This window comes from Homo sapiens, chromosome 2, assembly GCF_000001405.40.
Source record: "Homo sapiens chromosome 2, GRCh38.p14 Primary Assembly".
Lineage (NCBI taxonomy): Eukaryota > Metazoa > Chordata > Mammalia > Primates > Hominidae > Homo > Homo sapiens.
The window spans coordinates 213,845,407-213,867,931 of record NC_000002.12 but is presented as its reverse complement, the minus strand read 5'-3'; the positions used below and the strand labels follow the sequence as shown (position 1 = coordinate 213,867,931).

General features: G+C 36.0%; 1 protein-coding gene across 17 annotated transcripts in view; it reads right to left on the bottom strand.

Moving 5' to 3' along the window:
• The window catches only part of SPAG16 (sperm associated antigen 16), a 1,126,038-nt gene that overhangs the window by 542,570 nt on the left and 560,943 nt on the right, over positions 1–22,525 (bottom strand). For 16 of the 17 annotated variants that reach the window (NR_047659.2, NR_047660.2, XM_011511814.2 and 13 more), the window contains one exon: positions 5,304–5,447. Coding sequence is in view for 15 of the 17 variants with exons in the window: in XM_011511814.2 (XP_011510116.1) it covers positions 5,304–5,447 (144 nt within the window). In the remaining 2 variants the exon portion in view is untranslated. Of the gene's footprint in view, positions 1–5,303; positions 5,448–9,603; positions 9,620–22,525 lie in introns of those variants that run through there. The other variant, XM_011511831.3, reaches the window with a different exon arrangement.

The window sequence follows — 22,525 nt, the reverse complement described above, 5'->3', positions numbered from 1 at the left end:
TTTTTGTTGAGACAGAGTCTTGCTCTGTCACCCAAGCTGGAGTGCAGTGGCGCGATCTCAGCTCACTGCACGCTCCACCTCCCAGGTTCATGCCATTCTCCTGCCTCAGCCTCCCGAGTAGCTGGGACTACAGGTGCCCGCCACCACGCCCGGCTATTTTTTTTTGTATTTTTAGTGGAGACGGGGATTCACCGTGTTAGCCAGGATGGTCTTGATCTCCTGACCTCATGATCCGCCCGCCTCGGCCTCCCAAAGTGCTGGGATTACAGGCGTGAGCCACTGAACACGGCCGAGCTATCTTTTTAAGTTCTCAAAATTTCTATCAATGAAAAATATGATGATAGCTAACATTTATTGAACATATGTGTGCCTAGCAACCGTATTTGTGTTTTTCAGATATTATAACACTAGTCTTCACAATCAAACTATAAAGTAGGCATCATTATTCTTTCTATTTTGCAGAAGAGAAACCTGAAAAGACTGGCAATGGTGAGGCTAGCATTCTAAAACGAGCCACTCGTATGACCTCTACCTTGCACAAGGGTATGTTTATGCTCCCACTTTTTGGCAATGTACATTTTCTTCTTTCAGTAGTACAAAGATAGTGCTAATGCACATTCCCTGCATTGATCCATTCATTTACCATTTTCAATGATTGATGAATCACTTTCAACAGCTACCAACATTTCCATCAGTCTACCAAGTAAATGCAAAGAGTGCTTTATCTTACCAATATATGACCTTAATCTAGTGGTAAATATGTAATAATGATGAGTTACACTGTGACGAAAGTTATCCATGTCCTTAAAAAAGATCTGGACAGACAAGTCCTACTGAGGAAATTAAAAACTTAGATAAAAACAGAACCAATTCCACTGTAAACAATAGATAGAAATAATCAGTTATGTGTATAGTTATTATTTTGAGGCAATGCAGTATTTTGAAGACTTGCAATTTTTAAATGCCTTCTGTTTGTATAGTCTGCATTATATTTGTATAAAACTTAAAGGATTTCCACATTCATTTTTTGAGTTATAAATATGTTAGACGGTGTTAGTGTTCAACAAAAAGTAGTCATTATTATTAAGGGAAAAAAATAAAATATGTAGTCAACATTTAAAGAGAGTAAACACCAACTGGAGAAGTAATTAAGCTTCCATAGACAGATGTTAGCTTGGACCCTTGCTCCTGTTTTGACTTTGGGGATTGTCTACATTTTTACCTGGTTGGTTTTATGTTCCCCTCTTGAACTATTTCCTGTAAGCACCATTCTGCTTTTGACTCATTAAGCTTCATGGCATCCAGGTTTGACATTCACCTGGCAGATCTTATTAAGAGTTTTAGCTGTTCCAAAATCCATTCCCCTAATCAATTTCAACACATGGGACCTAACAATATATGCAAACGTGTGTTAACAGGTATAGTTGCTAGATTTATGCCACTTTTTAAAGTAACTTCCAATATCTATAAGTATAATTTATTATATGATGTCCTCATAGTCGGATCATTTATATATTTCATGCTTTCCTAGTACAATTCTTACTTGGTCATGGTATATTGCTCTTTTTAAACATACAACTGCTTTCATTTTCTATATCATTTTTTAAAGTTTTGCATTCAAAATAGTGAAATGGGTCTCTGTTACCATGTGAGTACTGTATCCGTTAGGTTTAAAATTATGTTTATGCTTTATTTTTAAAACCAGTAATGAATTTCCCTTTTATTTTTTCTGTCCTTGGGCTAGGTAATGAAACTAAAAATTACCTGTTTTATTCTAACACTTTTTTTTCTTTCTTTCTTTCTTTTTGGTAAGTTTCTAAAAACTCACTCATAAAACTGCTAAAGATGGGCATGCAAGGTAAAACTTTAAAACTCAGTTTCTTCAACAGTTTTTAATCTAGTCCAGGTTTTTCTTCCATCTTGATTTAGCATTGAGAATGTTTACTTTCACAGAGATTTATTATTTCCTAAAAAATTTAAGCACATATATATATAGTATATATATATAATATAAGTTTCTGTGTATATAGTACTATCTCCTTCCAAGTTGCTATGTATATTACTGTTTTCTTACTTATTAATATATTTTCAGCAGTTTTCCAGGATATCTAATGTATTGTACCTCCTCATTATTTTTCCCCTTGAGGACAGACAAATTCTGAATTTACACATATATGTGCATGTATATATGTATATTATTTATATGTATATAAATATATAAAAAATTTATATACAAATGTTTATATATTTTATATATATATAAGTTCAGAAGTTTTCATAGGTATATAACATACATAAATATACATCCTTTTTCTATTCTCATTATTAATTTCTAATTTTCATTGATTTATTCTTTTGCATTTTTTATTTCATTGTTTTTTCAATTTGAATTCATAATCCACTTATTTTCTTTTTTTCTTATTTAATGATAAAGAATTTAAAGCTATGAATTTTACTCTGAATACGGCTTTGGATACATCTCATAAACTTCGTAAGTGTTGTAGTTGTTAACTGTTTACCAACTATGTAATGAAAGTTTATAGTTCCTCTTTGACTCAGTATTCATTTACATGTGTCTTAAAAATTTGTGATTAATCTCATTCATGGTTATTAATTTCATATCACTTCCTTTTATCATTGAATCTTGGTCATAAATTATGGATTGTATAATTTATACTATGAGGAATTTATGCTAGATTTTGGGTAAAGAATTTATGCCTTTTTGAAAATTGAACCATAAATGAACTCAAAAAATTTATATTCTCTCCTTGTACAGAGGTAAATATATACTGTTAATTATACTACCATGTTAATTCTTCTAATTCCACTACAAATTTTGTTTACTTGACAGATTAAAAGTTGAGAGAGATACCTTGAAGTCTTTGATTCTGATTATTACATTTTTTTACTATCATCTTGTTTTACGAGATTTTTTGTTTTATATATTTCGACATCATATTAGCTGGATTCTCAAGTGTTAGTTATCCCCTCAGTTTATTTTTTTACCTATTAATCTTCTTTTGTCTGATATGAGTATTACTATGTCTATTGTATTTATTATTTAGGCACTTGAGATGTCTGCTATGATACGAGAAATAGGACAAAGAAGATTGATTGGGGTCAGTCAAGGTAAACCACAATCATGTCAAGAATAATTGACCCCCAAACAAAATTTGGATATGTCATCATTGCAGAAGATAGAGTGCCTGACAGTGTCAGCTACCATTGTAGTCAGGAATACATCCAGCTAACAGTTAGAGAAAATATTCAACTAGAAGCAACTGAAATTAAAAATAAAGGAAATGTTAAAAGCAAAGGAAAGAAAAAAATAAGAAAAAGTATATGTGTCTTGTGTGAAGAGCATAGGAGGACAGTAAATGTTAGTATATACTGTGTCCACCCTAGGCCTCTCCCAAGAAAGCAGAATCAACCAGAGCCCAGAGCTGGACTCTGAAGACTATAACTGTATTCATTAAAAAATCAACTACAGATTAGAGTATCATATTTAAATCAAACTTATTTTAGGTTTGATTTTAAATTATAGATGAAGTATACCATGAGATAGGAAATATATTATCTTCATTAATTAACTATCTTTTCTTACCAAATCACATAAGCCAAAGCAAAAGTCAAATATTACAAATTTAAATTCCAGGAAACATAAATTCCAACAACTTTTAATCTATCAACACTATCTGTAGGTACATATATATTTTTTCATATTCATTTGCTATTTAGTGTTGGTTTGCATACAAGGATTATAAAATGTTTGTGGTCTGAGATATAAACTCTTTCAGAATGTGTTTCACCACAAATAAACCAAAATAGAGCTTTTTTTGTTGTTGTTTCTAATGATCATTTTTTCTTTTTTATTAATTCTACAAAAAGAACATTTGCTATTCAATATCTCTCATTTAAAAACACTTATGGTTATATTTATTTTCTCCCCTTATATTTGTCTCATGCACTGAAAAAAAGCAAACAGTATAGCAGTATTTTACTACAATTCTGCCGTAAGAAAGTGCTAAATGTAAATTCATATTATGAGTGAATAATGATGTATCTCACCTCATATTAATTTCAGTAATTGAATGGGAAAACAGGAAGATCTATTAAAAGGACCATTGCTGGTCAAACACTAATGAGAAAATCTCTGAGTCACTGGCTGTCATGGTAACAGGGCATTATCAAAATCTGATTAGTATGCCCAGTAGCTACATAAGCGATTGGCTATTCTTCTAATTGTATTGTCTCTGCTTGCAACATGGGTTTTATGTTCCTAAGAGGTGAGAGGGTGGCAAGGCTCTGTTTAATTTATATACTGGATACGGAATACACTGCATGTTCATAAAGTAGGGTCAAACATCTAGTACTAAAGATAAATTATATTTTGGAAAGATTTTCAAAAGTTAAAAACAAACTTAGTTTACCCTTGTCATTAACTTACAAATTTCTAAATTTAAATAAAATTTTTTTATCTAATTTCATAGACATTCATAGCAAAGATAAAATAAAAACTGATTTAAAAAAGGAGTTTAGTGAAAACATGAAAATAAATCATAAGAAATCTTCCCAAGAACAAAATTTCCAAAAGAATGGTTTAGAAAAGCACCAAGAACTATGGGTTAAAAAAGTAATCAGGCCAGAGAGTTTTAGAACGAAGCAGATCCAAGAAGTATGATGAGCAGAAAACAGGATTGGCAGTAGCAATGGGCCACAAGGAACTATGGGCAGTTTTCCATCTGTGTCTTTAAGAATGATCTCCCTTCTGTGCCCTTGGTCTTTTAGGTACAAATGAATTTAGGTTCAGTGAATTTCAGAAATTACAGGGCCCAGTGTTCTCAGTATTGCTTTGTTCTTTTTAATATCTTGTGTGTCACTGAATTTTTAGAGAAATTGATCGCAGCTATCTGATCCTTTTTGGTACATAAATTAATTCTAAAAGGAAAACTCCAAAGATTAACAAAGGTAAATTCTGGCATGCATTATTGACTAGAAATCTCTGTGCCTTGTCAGGGCTCGTGAGCACAAGGAATTTTAATAATGCTTGTCCTGAGAAGCTTATTACTTTGGTTAAATGCATAAGCATGTGGACTAAGTTTTACATGTACCAAATATCAAAAACAATCAGAAGTCAATATACTGAAAACCAAAGGGGAATTTGTCTATACACTTTGAAATTCAGTGCAGGGTGTGTTGTTGCAGAAAGAAAAACATCATCAAAGACAGCAGAGTGAGCAGACAGAGTAAAGGAGCACATTCCTAGAGAGATTAGGCTATTTCTAGGGGTCCTGTGCACTGACCTGGGATGGAAGCAGCAGTCTGAAAGCCAGTCAGTGTGGCCAAATCCCGTGAGAAGCACATTGCATTTTGGAAGGCCCAACACCTTCCAGAGTCGGTCCTCGCCACAGGAGACTAGGATGTCTTTGTGGGGTTGCATGGAGACACTGCGCGAGGAGAAAGAAAAAAGAGTTATGGGGAGATAATAGCAAATGTTTTCAGAATATGAATAAATGAAATGGCAGTGATTATCCGATTTTAGCAAGGCAGGATAGTTTTGAGAGTACTGGCCCCAAAATAAGAGGAAGCAGGTTCTGCATCCCTGCTATAGCTCTAACACTAGTAGCTTTCTGATCTCCATCAATCTAGTCAGCTTCACTGGATCTCGGATTCCTCATTTGCAAGACAAAGTAGTTGGTTTAGGTGATTGTGCATATCTAATTCTGGTTTGAAAAGAGTAATTATGGTTTTTCTTTAAGGGAAGAAAAATTATGCCAATGGTATTTTTATGTTGGGATATTTGGACCAGTGGTCATGGTTACTATAGAACATCAACATTGTTTTCAAACTATAATATGTCTTAAATCAGCCATTATCCAGGAAAAGATCATGAATCATAACCACATTATCATAGTTCTGTAATAAATACTATAAATGAAACATTAACTCCATGGCCCACTATCTACACAAAGTGAAGGAACTAAAATTCTATCCTACATTACCACTTAAATTGGCTTCAGTCAATGCACAGTACACAAATTACAGTAATGAATTCAAGATATAAGGCAATTCCCACTCTATAAAGGCATAGAGGGAAATGAGAAAGAAGTATGTAAGATTAATGATTAACACATTAAGCACTATTATTTGAACTGGACTCTGATCACTGTGGCTATTTTAATACTGGAGCTCAACTATTTTAAAATCAAAAGTCTACAAGGTTAATGCCTGATATTTTAGCTATGGCAATGCTTTAATCTTATTTGTATAAAGTTTCATCTATGCCTTACAATGTAATGGGAACAGATGTGTCCAATGTTAAGCACCTATTAAAATTCCAACCTAAATATTAGTAACAAATTGTTCAATTTCAATTTGGCCATCTAAATTCAAAGACAATAATACATTTACTTGCCAATGTGGTGCGGTAAGACATATGATGATTTAAAAAACAGCGATCACATGTTCATTTTTCCCTTAGTCTATTCTATAAATGGCCTTGTTCTTTTCTTCTGCAATATGGATTTTAAGAAACACATTTCCCAAAGAAACCATGGCTCTAGTCCACACCAACATGGCTAGCTAACTCCAGGCTTATATGAGAGCAAAACATTTCTCATTATTTATATCTTACATTAATATCATTAAACTCTAAAATTATCAACTGAAAAATTATTTTTAAATTAGACCTACACAGTTTTGGGAATCTACTGGCTTCAGCATTAGCAGCATTCAGGTCAAAGCCATGTAACCACTATGGGCATGGCCTTCTTTCTAGTGAAACATTGTTTCATTTTTCTCCAGCATTTTGCTGCTCAAAATAAACACAGTGGAAGGGAAATTATTCATTTTGCAATTCATCATAATGTTGGTTTGTGACTTTCAGAAGGCCAATTCAAGTAAAGAATTTATTACAGCTCAAACCGGATAGAAGATACATTTATAGAACTTAATTAGAAGAAAAATATGATGAGAGGTAAAAAATGTCAGATTAAAATGAATTCTGTATTCAAATACACACAAGAAGGCAAACTGAATCCTTGAAGCTACTGAGTATGATGTATGTTGGCTCACAGCTTTCCTGGCAGACACATGCACCCTTGACCAGATGATAAATTACCCTCTTTAAGTGAAGATAACTAAAATCATTGATGTTTTTACGAACTTTGAAAGATAAGTTTCCAAAATGACTTTTGTGAGAGGAATTATTTGTAGAAGTTAAGGCAAAAATATAAATACAAACCCACTGATAGCTAATCAGATTTGGAAGTACTTTTTTCTGACTCTTCTCATCCCCTCCACTATGTGGCCTCCTCTGTGACACCTTAAACAACTTGGACTCCTATTCCACATGAACTGATCCTCCTAATCACACTCTGATTTGTCCATATATTCCTTTTCTAACACTGGCATAGATACATACATGTACACACACATATGTGTGTATATATATATATAGATAGATATATCTGTATATATATACATATATCTATAAATATATAGATATACACACATATATTTATATATGTATAAATATCTGTCTATTTATAGATATACACACACACACATATATATATATATATATATATCTGTAAATGACTTTTGTGGGTAATTCTACACACATTTCAGCAAGGCATACAATGTTCTTTAGCTGAATAGAAATATTTTCAGCATATATAGAAAGGAATTTAATGCTTTGATAATATATTAATAAATACCTGGTTTTGAATTATTATGGAATAAGTGCATCAGCAAATACTGGGACATAGCGATAAAGACCCCCAGGGAGGAGTTCCAAATCTCAGTTCAAATCACTCCTGTGGGAGGGAAGCAGTTTAAGGGCTATGGACCAGAAATATTTCCCACGTACAGAAATTGTGTTATTCTCAACTCCATAATGAGACATAACTGTCATCATCATCATCATCATCATCATCAACTAATGGTAATGATATTTAACATTGTTTGAAAATTTAATGTGCCCCATACCTGGTACTAAATGCTTAGTTCTCACAAGTGAAATGAAAGCTCAAAAGAGCTGGGGTTCATATCTGTATTATTTGCTGTATGCTCAACCCCAATAGTAGCTGGCACATAGTAGCTATTCAATAAACATTCATCAAATACATGACTTAGTGACTGATGTTGGTACTATCAGTATTATTATTTTATGCCATTGTAAACAGAGTTAGTAGAGATACCACATAAATTGCCCAAGCTTACATTTGGTAGTGAACGGAAGCCAACTTTGAACCCAGGATGGCTTGGCTTTAAGACTCATAATTTTAGCTACTCCAGCTTAGTATGAATCTTCAATCATTTATTATTTCTATGTGTACTATAAATATCAATAATTCCTGTTACAGAGCTTGGATGTAACTATTATCATTCCCAGTAAATGCTTAAGTCATTTAGTCATTATTAAGCCCTGAGGTAAAGAACCAATTTAGAAATTGCCAGTGTATTGTATCAGAGCTGGGTACCACCAGACACAATAGTGTTAGAGGGGTTAGAAGAACCTGTTCTTTACAGTTAATATGCTCTGGTACTGCCAGAGAAACCAAGGGAGGAGAGCCTCTCCCACAATCTGTCTACATAAGTTTTTGTGCAGATGTACATGCTGCACTTACCAAGATCTTTAAGATCTTTAATTCATTTTCTTGTGCTAATAGTAGAAGTCCGGTATTATACATCAAGTTGTCAGAGGACATTGAGTTTTTTTTTTTTTTTTTTTTTTTTTTTTTTTTTTTTTTGAGACGGAGTGTCGCTCTGTTGCCCAGACTGGAGAGCAGTGGTGTGATCTCGGCTCACTACAACCTCCCCCTCCCAAGTTCAAGCAATTATCCTGCCTTAGCCTCTTGAGTAGCTGGGATTACAGGTGCGTGCCACCATGTCTGGCTAATGTTTGTATTTTTAGTACAGATGGAATTTCACCATGTTTATCAGGCTGGTCTCAAACTTTTGACCTCATGATCCGCCCACCTCGGCCTCCCAAAGTGCTGGGATTACAGGCGTGAGCCACTGCACCTGGCGGACTTTTTATTTTTTATTTTCATAGAGGTCTCTAAAAATAAATGTAGAACAATACTTAATAATCATTGATTCCACAGGCTTTTCATTCATTAAAAATTTACCCAGTTATACTTAGGGCTCACCTTCGACCATTCTGTTTACCTCTGAATCAGTCTTTTGAAGAAGCTGAAGAATAGGAGTAATAACTAATACTTTATAGGATTCAGTTCCTCTTCCCAACATTGCATACATAAATTCATTCAATGGCTATAATACAGGCATACCTTGGAGATACTCCAGGTATCAGGCAATCTTGGTTTCAGACAATCTCAACAAAGTGAATATCACAATAAAGCAAATCATATAAACTTTTTGGTTTCCCAGTACATATAAAAGTTATGTTTACCCTATACTATAGTATATTAAGTATATAATAGTATTATGTCTAAACTGACAATGAAAAAATACTTTATTGCTAAAAAATGGGGCTGATCTTAACATTCATCCAGTCATAATCTTTCTGCTGGTGGAGGGTCTTGCCTTGATGTTGATGGCTGCTGACCAATCAGAGTTGTGGTTCCTGAAGGCTAGATGGTTGTAGCAAATTCTGAAAATAAGACAACAATGAAGTTTGCCACATTGATGTACTTTTCATTTCAAAAAGATTTCTCTGTGGCATGTGATATTGTTTGATAGCATTTTACCCACAGTGGAACTTCTTTCAAAATTGGAGTCAACCCTCTCAAACATCTTTATCAAATATGTTTATGAAATATTTTAAATCCTTCATTGTTATTTCAACAATGTTCACAGCATCTTCACCCAGGAGTAGATTCCATCCCAAGAAACTACTTTCTTTGCTCATCAATAAGAAGCAACTCTTTATCCATTCAAGTTTTATCATAAAATTGTAGCAATTGAATCGCATTTTCAGGATGCACTTCTAATTATGGTTCTTTTGCTATTTCTATCACATCTGATGTGACTTCCTCCAGGGAAGTCTTGAACCTCTCAAAGTCATCCATGAGAGTTTGCATCAACTTCTTTCAAACTTCTGTTAATGTTTATATTTTGATCTCTTCCTATAAATCATGAAAGTCTCTTTCCAGAAGGTTTTCAGTTTACTTTGCCCAGATCCATCAGAGGAATCACTGTCTATGGCAGCTATAGCCTTACAAAATATAGTTTTTAAAAAATAAGAATTGAAAGTTGAAATTACTCATTGACCCACGGGAAGCAGAATTGATGTTCTGTCAGCAGGCATGAAAATAACATTTGTCTCCTTGTACATCTTCATCACAGTTCTTGAGTGACCAGGTGAATTTTAAATGGGAAGTAATATTTTGTAAAGAATCATTTTTTTTTCTGAACAGTAGGTCTCAAAGGTGGGCTTAGAATATTCATTAAACCATGTTGTAAACAGATGGGCTGTCATCTAGGCTTTGTTGTTACATTTATAAATCATAGGCAAAATAGATTTAGCATAATCTTAAAGATCCTAGGATTTTCAACATGGTCAATGAGCATTGGCTTCAACTTAAAGTTACCAGCTGCATTAGCCCCTAACAAGAAAGTCAGCCTGTCAGGTGGAGTTGTTGAAGCCAAGCATTGACTTTACCTCTCTAGATTTAAGAGTTTTAAATAATATGTTCTTCCAATAAAGGGCTGTTTATGCTGAATAATTTTTTTTGAGATGCAGTCTCTCTCTGTCACCCAGGCTGGAGTTCAGTGGAGTGATCTCGGCTCACTGCAACCTCCGCCTCCCGGGTTCAAGCAATTTTCCAGCTTCAGCCTCCTGAGTAGCTGGGATTTCAGGCGCCCGCCACCATGCCTGGCTAGTTTTTGTATTTTTGATAGAGATAGGGTTTCGCCATGTTGGCCAGGCTGGTCTCTAATTCCTGACTTTAGGTGACCCATCCTCCTTGGCCTCCCAAAGTGCTGGGATTACAGGTGTGAGCCACCCATCCTATGCTGATGATTTTTTAGTTTAGCCACCTTCATTCATTATCTTAGCTATGTCTTCTGGATAACTCGTTATAGCTTCTACTTCAGCACTTGTTGCTTCACCATACTTTTATGTTATGGAGATAGCTTCTTTCCTCAAAACTTAAAATGAAAAAATGGTTTCATGAGCCAGGCCCAGGTACTTGCTGCTTTGTGCAGTCTTGGGACTCGGTGCCCTGCATCCCAGCAATGACTAACAGGGGCAAACATACAGCTCAGGCCTTTGCTTCAGAGGGTGCAAGGCCCAAACATTGGCAGCTTACATGTGTTGGGCCTGTGGGGGATCAGAAGTCAAGAATTGAGGTTTGGGAACCTCTGCCAAGGTTTCCGAAGATGTATAGACATGCCTGGATGTCCAGGCAGAAGTCTGCTGTAGGGTGGCTTCCTCATGGAGAACCTCTGCTAGAGCAGTGTGGAAGGGAAATGTGGGTTTGGAGCCCCCACAAACAGTCCCAACTGGGGCATTGCCTAACGGAGCTGTAAGAAGAGGGCCACTGTCCTTCAGACCCCAGAATGGTAGGTTTACTGACAGCTTGCACTGTGCACCTGGAAAAGCTACAGACACTCAATACCCATGAAAGCAGCTGGGAGGGGGCTGTATCCTGCAAAGCCACAGGGGTGGAGCTGCCCAAGGCTATGGGAGTCCACCTCTTGCATCAATGTGACCTGGATGTGAGACATGGAGTCAAAGAGAACATTTTGGAATTTTAACGTTTAATGACTGCCCTACTGGATTTTGGACTTGTCTGGCACCTGTAGCCCCTTTGTTTTGGCCAATTTCTCCCATTTGGAATGGGTATATTTACCAACTGCCTGTATCCCCAGTGTGTCTAGGAAGTAACTAACTTGCTTTTGATTTTACAGGCTCATAGGCAGAAGGAACTTGTCTCAGACGAGAATTTGGACTTGGACTTTTGAGTTAATGATGAAATGAGTTGAGACTTTGGGGGACTGGGAAGGACATGATTGTGTTTTGAAATTTGAGGTTATGAGATTTGGGAGGGACCAGGAGTAAAATGATATGGTTTGGCTCTGTGTACCCACCCAAATCTCACCTTGAATTATAATAATCCCCACATGTCAAGGGCAGGACCAGGTGGAGAAAATTGAATCCTGGGGGTGGTTTCCCCCATGTTGTTCTGATGACAGTAAGTGAGTTCTTATGAGATCTGATGGTTTCATATGGGGCTTCCCCCTCCACTCTGCTCTCATTCCCTCTCCTGATGCCCTGTGAAGGGGTGCCTTCTGCCATGATTGTGAATTTCCTGCGGTCTCCCCAGCCATGCAGAACTGTGAGACAATTAAATCTCTTTTCTTCATAAATTTCCCAGTCTCAGGTATGTCTTTATAACAGCATATTAACCAATACACTTCAGTTAGAAAAAAAAAGTAGTAACTATGAAATGCAACAAAGTGAAATGCGATAAAATGAGATATTCCTGTTCTCCTATGAGTTACGTTTACCACTATCCCCATTTTTCCAGGTGGAGGAACTGGGATACATAGAGGTTAAGTGATCCACCCGAGGTCACAAAGCTAGGAAGTGGTAAAGCCAGAATACATGAACTTGAGTGAACTGTCTCAAGTCCATATCTTTAAGTAGAGTTAGCTCAACACCTCTGTTGACTTTTCCTTTTTTAGATGAAAGCAAGAGCAGAGAATGTTGTTTTATGTGTGTCTAGGGTACTTATTCAGATGCATTTTGAAGTTTCTAAAGAACTGGTCTTTTTTGTCATTTTCTAACCATGTGTAAAAAGTTAAAACTATTGTCACTTGCTATTTTCTGAAAATTGTCTAGATTCAGGGTGGTGGTGGGATGGATCAAGCAAAGATAATTGCTAAAGAAACACTCATGGTCTAAAGCAGAGGTTGGCAAACGTTTTCTGAAAAGGACCAGAGAGTAAATAATTTAGGCTATGGGCCATATGTTATCTGTTGTAACTTTTCAGCTCTGCTCTTGTAGCATGAAAGCAGACATAGACAAAACATAAACGAATGATTAAGGATGTGTTCCAACAAAACTTTAGTTACAAAACCAGTTTGTGGGCTAGGTTTGGCCTGTGGGCCATAGTTTGCTGATCCCTAAACATTTGCATGACATGGGGTAGACTAATGTTTAAAAGTGTTGGCTCTGAAGTAAGATGTGAGTTTGAATTCTTGTTCCAGTGTTAGCTAGCTAGACATTCTTGGATAAATTCCTTATCAAGAATTTTGTCAGGTACCTCACCTGAAGAAATGGGACTACTGTAGGATTGATCACATAAGCTTATTATGGGAATTTTTAAAGTTAATACTTGTACAGGACTTAGAATGGTGCTAGACACATAGTGAAAATTTAGTGAACATTGTCACAGCACAGAGAGACAGGGTATCTGGGGCCTGCCTGCCTAGATTTGAAGAATGGCCCACAACTTAATTACTAGCTGATTATGTTGTACAGCCCAGCTTTTTTATTTGTGAAAACAGGGTAAAAATACTGATCCATCAGGGCATTTGAGTATAAAATAAGTTGATATATGTAAAGTACTTAGAACAATTATCTGAACATTTGTCAGCTTTCCACAAATGTCAACTATTATTACTATTATTCAACATTATTGAACTTCCTTGTAATTTGGCCCTTCATATAGTTAACATCTATCATTCATACTTTTTTCTTTTAAAGACCATGGGTAGGACATTCCCTACTTAAAACTGTAGATATTTACAATTAAACGATGTTTTCTCTTAGTTTTGATAAACATCGTACATTACTGTGTTTTATATGATGTTAAGTCACTCTCTGGCAAAAATGTAGCCATCATAAATAACACTTTCACAAGTTAATATAAGGAAATTTTGTGGTTGTTTCTTTCATGATAGGGATTTCAGGAACACACTGAGGGAAGTAGTGGAGAGTATGTACACATTCACTCCTATCCTTACTTGCACATATGCAACTAGCACAAAGTAGTTGCTAATCTTGGGGGAAAAGCTCATTTTAGACCCTGGGCATGCGGAGCTGAAGATAGCAGGATACCCCTCCTCAAGCTTTGTCCACAAATAGGTCTCCCTCTTGTAACCATAAAATGACTATCATCCTCAAAGATGTCATCCCAAAGTTCTAATAAATAAGAATAATAAGCTTTTGCTTAATTTCTTCCTGGCACCTGCCCTAAGTGCCACAAAGTCATTTTACTTCAAACTTTGAATATAAGCTTTCTACTTCCCTTTAACTTACTATTAATTATAATTACAAGATTCAAAAATAAAGGCTCTGTCACAACATTCCTAAGTTAATAAGCTTATAAGTAGGGTGAAAATCGTACAGGAACACATCTTACAGATTCAAGAAAAGACAATGTGGGTGAATGCTAGTCCTGCTTCTTAATCAAGTCATGCCCTAATGAAGTATCCATAAAATGTTTTGTTAAACAATATACCAGGCATGTTACATAAAATATTATGTTCTGGCAGAGATTTTTTTCGTTTATAATAGGACACATTTCTTATAATAGACCACATGATATATACTTCAAAAGCTCTCCTTTCTAATTGAAATTGTTCTTTCCAGTAGTGGCATTACGAGAGGATATTTTGGAGGGAGTGTGTGTAGGTGTATGGTGAACACTATTAATTATCAGTAGAGTCAGTGACATAAGAATCCACTGTTAGACTTTTCAAAAGAAAAGAATATTAATCCAAAAAAAGATTGTCACAAGAAAGACTAATTAGATACCCTTGTCTTCCCTTTAGGTTATTCAACATTGTAAATGTTTCCTTCACTTCAGTTCACAGGCTCTAATTATTGCCACAGCAGAAGATGCACAGTGGGTGGAAAATAAATCCGTATCAAAATGTGTGCCCCGTGAACATTAGATGACCACTTACCTACCTGTCCTTAAAGACAATACACACTCACAGATTACATATGCTTTTATTCAGGTTGCCAGAACAAATACATAAAAAGGAGTTGTCTGACTGTTGCTTAGCTAGTAACTGCATCTTATATCGTGATGTGCATTAGCATTTATATAAAGTACTTTCACATGGAATTTTTTTATTATTCCAGCAAATATGTGTTTATAGCCTATGATGTAGCATGCAATACAGAGGCATCACCCTCAGGAAACTTACTTATGTGTAGGGGAGAACAGATCACAAAATAACTGAAGAAAATAAGTCAGCTATAAAGAAAATGTAGTAAAGTGATATAATAATTTGGGGGAGAATGTTATTTTTGATGAGGTGGTCAGGGGAGCCCACATTGAAAACATGACCTCCTAGCTGAGACCAGAATGACAAGCAAGAAGTACCTTTAGGATGGTCTAAGGGCAGATGGTTTCAGTCACAGGTGACTGCAAGTGCAAAAGTGCTAAGGCTGCAAGGAGGTGGTGCACTCAAGGGACAGAAGGAAAGCCGAGGTGACTGAAGAGAACAAGCAAGGAGGACTGTGTTGAGGATGGATAGGGAGCGAGAGGAAGGCGAGTACCAAAGTCATATAGGGCTTTTAGACTGAAGAAAGACGACTAAATTTCTCCTAAGATCATTTCACGGTTTTAAGTAGGAGAATTATATATGATTAATATATTTTAAAAAGATATCTGTAGCTGCTCTGTGGAAAATGGAAAGTAAGAAACAAGAGAAGAAACTAGGACACTAACTTGGAGAGTACAGTAGCAACCCAGATCTATTTAAACTACGGCTCCTCATCATCATGGCAGATGCCGCTTTTGTATATTGGTATTTTCACCACTACCTTCAGGAAAGGTCAACTCACAGTTGTCCTCATCATTAAAACATATTTATTAAGTGTACTTAAAAAGTGCCAAGGTGAAATGCAAATGCAATAAAAGTCACAAAACAAATGTGTATACAAAACACAATAATTTAAAATCTGTCAAAATAAGATAGTGGATCTTATTCATTTTCAGAAGACAGCTAAGTAAATGTGAAAAAGATGAAATCTTAATACTTCCCTAGCACTTTAAGTTTTAAATATTGTGAAATTATAGGTTTTCTTCAAAGCAGAGCAGGACTTACATCATTAGGATCTGGAAAGTAGCACTGTCCTTTCATTTTTTACTAGAGTGGAGCATTCTTACAGTTTTTTCACAGTTTGTGGACTTATTAATAATGCCCTAGAGGGTAGTCATAAAAGCTAAAGCTTCAGTTTTCTTTTCTTGTTCAATGTTCTTCCAACCTTATACATATTGTATATGCCTTGCCACCTGGCTGGTAGTGCTAATCCCAATCATTGGCAAGGTAAGAGGCAGCCGAGACTGGAATATCTACTCTGGCTCAAATGCAGGGAAAGGCCTTATGTAGTGACTTAGACCTAATAGATACTCAATGGTACTGCGATTAAAATTCACCCATGTTATAGAACATTGTAACATTCATCCAAATTATCAGTTTACTTTTATTTTAAGAGGGAGTCTCGCTCTGTCACCCAGGCTGGAGTGCAGTGGCGCAATCTTGGCTCACTGCAACCTCCGCCTACTGGGTTAAAGTGATTCTCCTGCCTCGGACTCTCAAGTAGCTGAGATTACAGGCACCCACCGCCACCACGCCTCATTTTTGTATTTTAGTAGAGATGGGGTTTCATCATGTTGGTCAGGCTGGTCTCGAACTCCTGACCTCAAATAATCTGCCTCGGCCTGCCAAAGTGCTGGGATTACAGGTGTGAGCCACCACGCTGGCCCATATTATTAGTTTATAGATTCAACCCAAATCTTTTTAAACATCGTATCAATTCTTTGGTCTTTCTCGTCCAATGTAAAACTTTCCACACAACTTTCTAAAAACTTGTATTTTATTCTTAAATTAGACAGCAACATTTTATACTTCTGAACTAAAATTTTAGTTTAATTATGAATATAAGCACTTCTCTAGGAAAAGTCTTCAGGTTGGATAAAGTCAAATTTTAGCTAACTGTGATTAAATTAATTATTAAATAAGAGTAATACTATTTTGGCCTTTTAAATATACTAATAAGAATGTTCCTTGAAAATTAGTAGACTGGTATGTTATGAGAAAAAAAATCCAAAGTGAAAATAAAAATATAAAGATTTACATTTTATAACATTCAACTCAAAAATCATTTATGGAAAGTCAACATATAAGCAAATAAGCAGCCTAATAATGTTTCCTAAGTCACCACTGACCAAACCTCATCGACACACATTCTCTTGCCCTCCTGTCTCCCATCGCATTTTCTACCCAGAAGAAAATCATAAAAAAAAAAACAGAATTTCTCTTCTCGAAGGTGAGTCTTAGAAACTAGAACCCATCTGCTACAAAGCAAGCCATAAAACCTTCTCTTCTTTTCCTTAAAGACCTTCATTCCAGAGAGGTCCTGCCCTGTACTCGAAAGAAGAAATGCCATACAGGCAGGCCAGAAGAATCTGAACCATCAGGCCTCTCTGTGTTTCCCCTTCCAGTTTATTACCACTACAGCACAGCCTTTTGTCCAATCACATTTCTACTCGACTGTCCATTCTTCATCAAATCTAAACATAGACAGTTTTCCCTGGATTTTAGCTTTTCATTTTTGAAGTTTTCTGTGTCATGTAAAACTTGGATTAAACAAATTTGTTTTGCTTTTCTCTTATTAACATGCCTTTGTTATAGTAGTGCTGGTCCTGACCCTTATAAAGAAAGGTATCACATCTTTCTAGTTTTCCGACAATCCACACAATGTCATTTCCATTTTCTTCAAAGTTATTCAACTTTCTAATACGTGAAAGAAATACCATTTCAAAACACACAGATTCAACTAAAGGAAATTTGTAAACTCCAAAGACAGGAGAATCACGACCCACTATTTAGGTAAATGAAATGAGGACAATCAATGAAACAGGTGAACTACTTCCAGATTTATGAAAATATCTCCTGGAACCTTCCTGCTACCTTAGCAGCTGAACATTTTATGCTACATAGTTTTATATATACTGTGCTTCATGTTACTAAATCACCGCACTTCTTTATGATTTAACAAGTTTGAGAAGATACATTACACATTTATGTTCTAAAGAAACCCATTTCAATAATAAAGTTTATTTGGTTATTTCATGTTTCAGCAATTTATAAGAATTTTGTGTTGTTATGAATGTAAAATGTTCCATTTCATATCTCCTTATTATATTAATGACAGAGAGTAGATTCTTTGGAATGACAGTCAAACTTCCTTATGGTAAGGACTTTAACATGAAAAATCTCTTTTCTAGGAGAATATCTAGAAATATAAACTACATATAGTCTAGAAATAACTGGAAGAATTACAACTGAAGACATAAAATTCAGGTAAATTTACATGCTGAGGTATAGTATAGAATTCACTTCAATGTGGCTCCAATTTATTAGATACCACCAAGCCAATGTGATTATTGTAATGACATATAAATAATGACTTTTTTGTATCTATTTTATAAATAAATTAGAAAGCCAATATTAATTTTTTTATCATTGAAGTATACTCATCAAACTTCAGCACTTTCACAAAATAAACTGCTATGGTTTGGACATGTTTTGTTTCCAACAAATCTCATGTTGAAATTTTATCCCCAGTTTGGTGGTGTCGGGAGGTGGGGCCTAAGTAGGAGGTGTTTGGGCCATGGGGGTGGATCCTTCATGGATGTCGTGGTGCCATTCTCACGGTGATGTGTTAGTTCTAACTCTATTAGTTCCTGCATGGGCTAGTTCTTAAAAAGAGCCTGGTACCTCCCCACTCTTTCTCGTTTCATCTCCTGCCGTGTGATCTGTGCATAAGCTGGCTCTCTGTCACCCTATGCCAAGAGTGACAGCAGCCTGAGGTCCTCGCCAGATGCAGATGTACAATCTTGAACTTTCCAACCATCCAGAATTGTGAGAAAAATACATCTTTTTTTCTTCATAAATTACCCACCCTCAGGTATTGCTTTATAGCAACACAAACCCATAAGGTTTGGAATTTGAGGCACATATTGAAATTAACAAAAGTTATATATATATGTCAATCTGAGTCTCAATTTCTACACTAAAAAAATTCCTAAGACTGAATAAGTTTCTATTATCATATTTCAGTTGCGTCATAGGCCACAAGCAGAAACTGTTGTGAACAAGAGGAATAGATCAAATGTCTGGGTTTGGCACTCACTATATGTAATTTGAGATGCTGGCAAGGGGAAGCTGAAGAGCTGCAAGGGGCGATAACTTGCATCAGTTTCCATTAGATGGGAGAAAGGATATAGGGATGGGACGAAGGGAACAGGGGTATAAACTGGCATTATAAAAACGCTTTGATAAAGTTGTTAAAAATTACTCCATGAACACAAATAACTTGAATTCAGGGGTGGCAACCAGATAGATATAACTACAATGGATAAATGGAATGAAAAGTACATGTTTAAGGGGAAGGATTGGGCGGCCAATTCAGCCAAGGTGAAAATTAATGAACATATAAGGCTGTGAGACATAAATCCAAAAAAGGAAGCTTAGTATCCAGAAATGGGTTCAAACAATGACAAATTAAGAAAACCAAGCAACAGACCTGAAATGAGTCCTGATAATCTGTGATGCAGTAGGACACCACTTCAGATGTCTCTTACTTCCATGCAGTTATCTCTGCATCTTAAATTCTGCTGACATCTTTTTTCTTCTAATTCACGTGAAACCAAGCAAAAATAAAGAGATAATCTATTGACTCCCATCTACTCACTGTGGGTAGGAAAAGAGCACAGAGGGAGCATCTAAACAGCAACTTGCTACAATCCAGACAAGACGTAGAGCTTCCATTTTTACAAGCCAAACAGGAGTGACTCCACAGGTATTCAGTTGCATAATTTATTATCTACACTGAGTTTTACCAAATTCAGGGAAATAAATAAAAGGTATGCACCATTCCCAAGTCTCTCAATCACACAGCTTAATCACCTGTCCTTTAATAAATAACTCAAATTACTTGCCTTATTTCAGTGCTGAATGTCTGCAGCACATACCCCTCTCAAAATTACCCAAAGCTTCCTCTATAACATACGGCACTGCCTCCAGTTACTTTTTGTATTATATGTCTGTGTGTGTGTGTGTGTGTGTGTCATTTGTTTATATTACAACATTTTGTTATCCTTATCAAGGAGAGAGAATCTCACTGCAAGAGTAACAAGGAGAGGTCCGTGTTTGCTGTAGTGTTTCTCTCTCCTTAATCTGCTTGTTTAAACTCTGCCTGGATCCTGTTGTCCTCTCACTACCTAACTTATGTAGGCATAAGAATGCACAAGAATCAAATGGTTTGGATATTTGTCCCCACCCAAATCTCATGTTGAAATGTAATCCCAATACTGAAGGTGGGGCCTGGTGTAGGGTGTTTGGATCACGGAGCTAGGTCCATCAGGAATGGCTTGGACCGTCCCTTTGGTGCTAAGTGAGCTCTCCCTCTTAGTTCACATGAGATCTGGTTGTTTCAAAGTGTGTGACACCTCCCTCCTTCAGTCTTTCTCTCTTGCTCTTGCTTTTGCCATATGATATGCCAGCCCCTCTTTGCCTTCCACCCTGATTAAAAGCTCCCTGAGGTTTCAGCAGAAGCTGAACAGATGCCAGCACGATGCTTCCCATAAAACCTGCAGAAGAATGAACCAATTAAACCTCTTTTCTTTATAAAATACCCAGGTATTTCTTCATAGCAGTGCAATAATGGCATAACACAATGTCCATGCCAAAACCTCTGGAACCTGTGAATATGCTTAAAATAGGAAAATTATCCTGAGGGGTGGGTCTAGTCTAATTACAGCAGTCCCTATGAGCAAGGGAAATTAAATGAGACAGAGGGTAGGTCAGAGAGACTCAAAGCATGAGGAAACTTAATCTGCCTAGCCTATTTTGAAGATGAAGGAATGTTGGCAAGAGTCATGAAACAGGATGTCCTCTGGAAATTGACAAGTACTCCACCTGACAGCCAGCAAGGAAGCAGGAAGCTCAGTTCTACAACCACTAAACCTGAAGTCTGCCCACAGCCTGGACGAGATGGGAAGCACACTCTACCTCATAGCCTCCAGATAAGAGACTAGACCTGCTGACCCTTTGATTTTGCTGAGATTCTAAGCAGCAGAAGCCATTGAGCCTGCACAGATTTCTGACCTACATAACTGTGAAGCGATAAATTAGTGTTTAAGTCACTAAATTGGTGCAAATTTCTTATAGCAGCAATAGAAAACAGATACAGTCTAGCAGTGAGTAACAAAGGAAATTAAATTTAAATTAAAAGACATATATTACATGGAATATGAAATTATAGCTTCTAATATTTTAAATATAAGATAAAGGGGTCTCACTGTATTAGAATGTTGCCTATAAAAATAACTCCATTATTATTTTATTTATAATTATATTATTTTGTGTCAAATTAACTAGATGGAATACAATTTTATGACATGGACTGGTTTTACTAATGACATTTTTATTGGTTTTGAACCACACAGGAACACTGTAATTGAGTCGGAAAAACTGTAGTCAAAAAAGGTGAGTAAAATAAGCTACTTCCATTACAATGAAATGTTAAAATACATCTTATTCTAAGAGGAGTTTCTTCAGGTACTACTGGCAGGTAATTTCAGCAGGGATATATACATACACATGTATATAATATACTACATTATATATAATTTATACTTATGTATGTACTTATAAGTTCTCAATCTTTCTAAACAGGCTTCAACTGATTTTATCAGATTTTTGGATTATCAATGGTAAACTCTTTTTCCCTAAAAGATAAATGTGAAACTAATTTTCAAAACAATTTTCAACAATCTTAAAAATCACAGTAGTTTAAAAAATATTTTGGATCATTGTTGGTATGTTTTAAGTTATAAAAATAATTAAGGCACATGAATTTATCTCAAATTATCTGACTGATAAGTGACTTGCACTAGCCAATGAGATGCTAGTAAATGTATCACACTCAAGAGACTTGAAAAGTATTTGTATAATTAGGCTTGCCCTTTCCCACTGCTACCCCAACCCCACTTTCATCATGAGAAGATATCTACCTGTCCCAGTCTGATGGAGGTTGAGAGACATGGAGCAGAGTAAAAATGTCCTGATTTTCACCTCAAACCAAACCAGCTGATCCACACATCTGAGTGAGTTCAGTTAAGAAGAGAATAACCAACCAGTTGAGCCCAGCTACAAACAGCAGAATGGCCCAGCTGATTGTATCAGATGCCTGAGCTTCATTCAAATCCTTACTATTGTGTGCCACTGAGGTTTTATGGCATTTTGTTTTTGTTTTTAACAAAGAATTAAGGTGATGAAAGGTAACTGATACACATGCATTTTATAACACTGTATCATAAAAGTTGTTCTGTACTTATTTTACCCATTTATTGCTGTTGAAAGAAGAAATTCTTCGTGTACATATTGCTTTGAACTTATTAATACTGTTCATGTTCATTACGATTAAGAACAAGGGCCGCTTGCAGTGGCTCACACCTGTAATCCCAGCACTTTGGGAGGCCGAAGAGGGTGGATCACGAGGTCAAGATACCGAGACGATCCT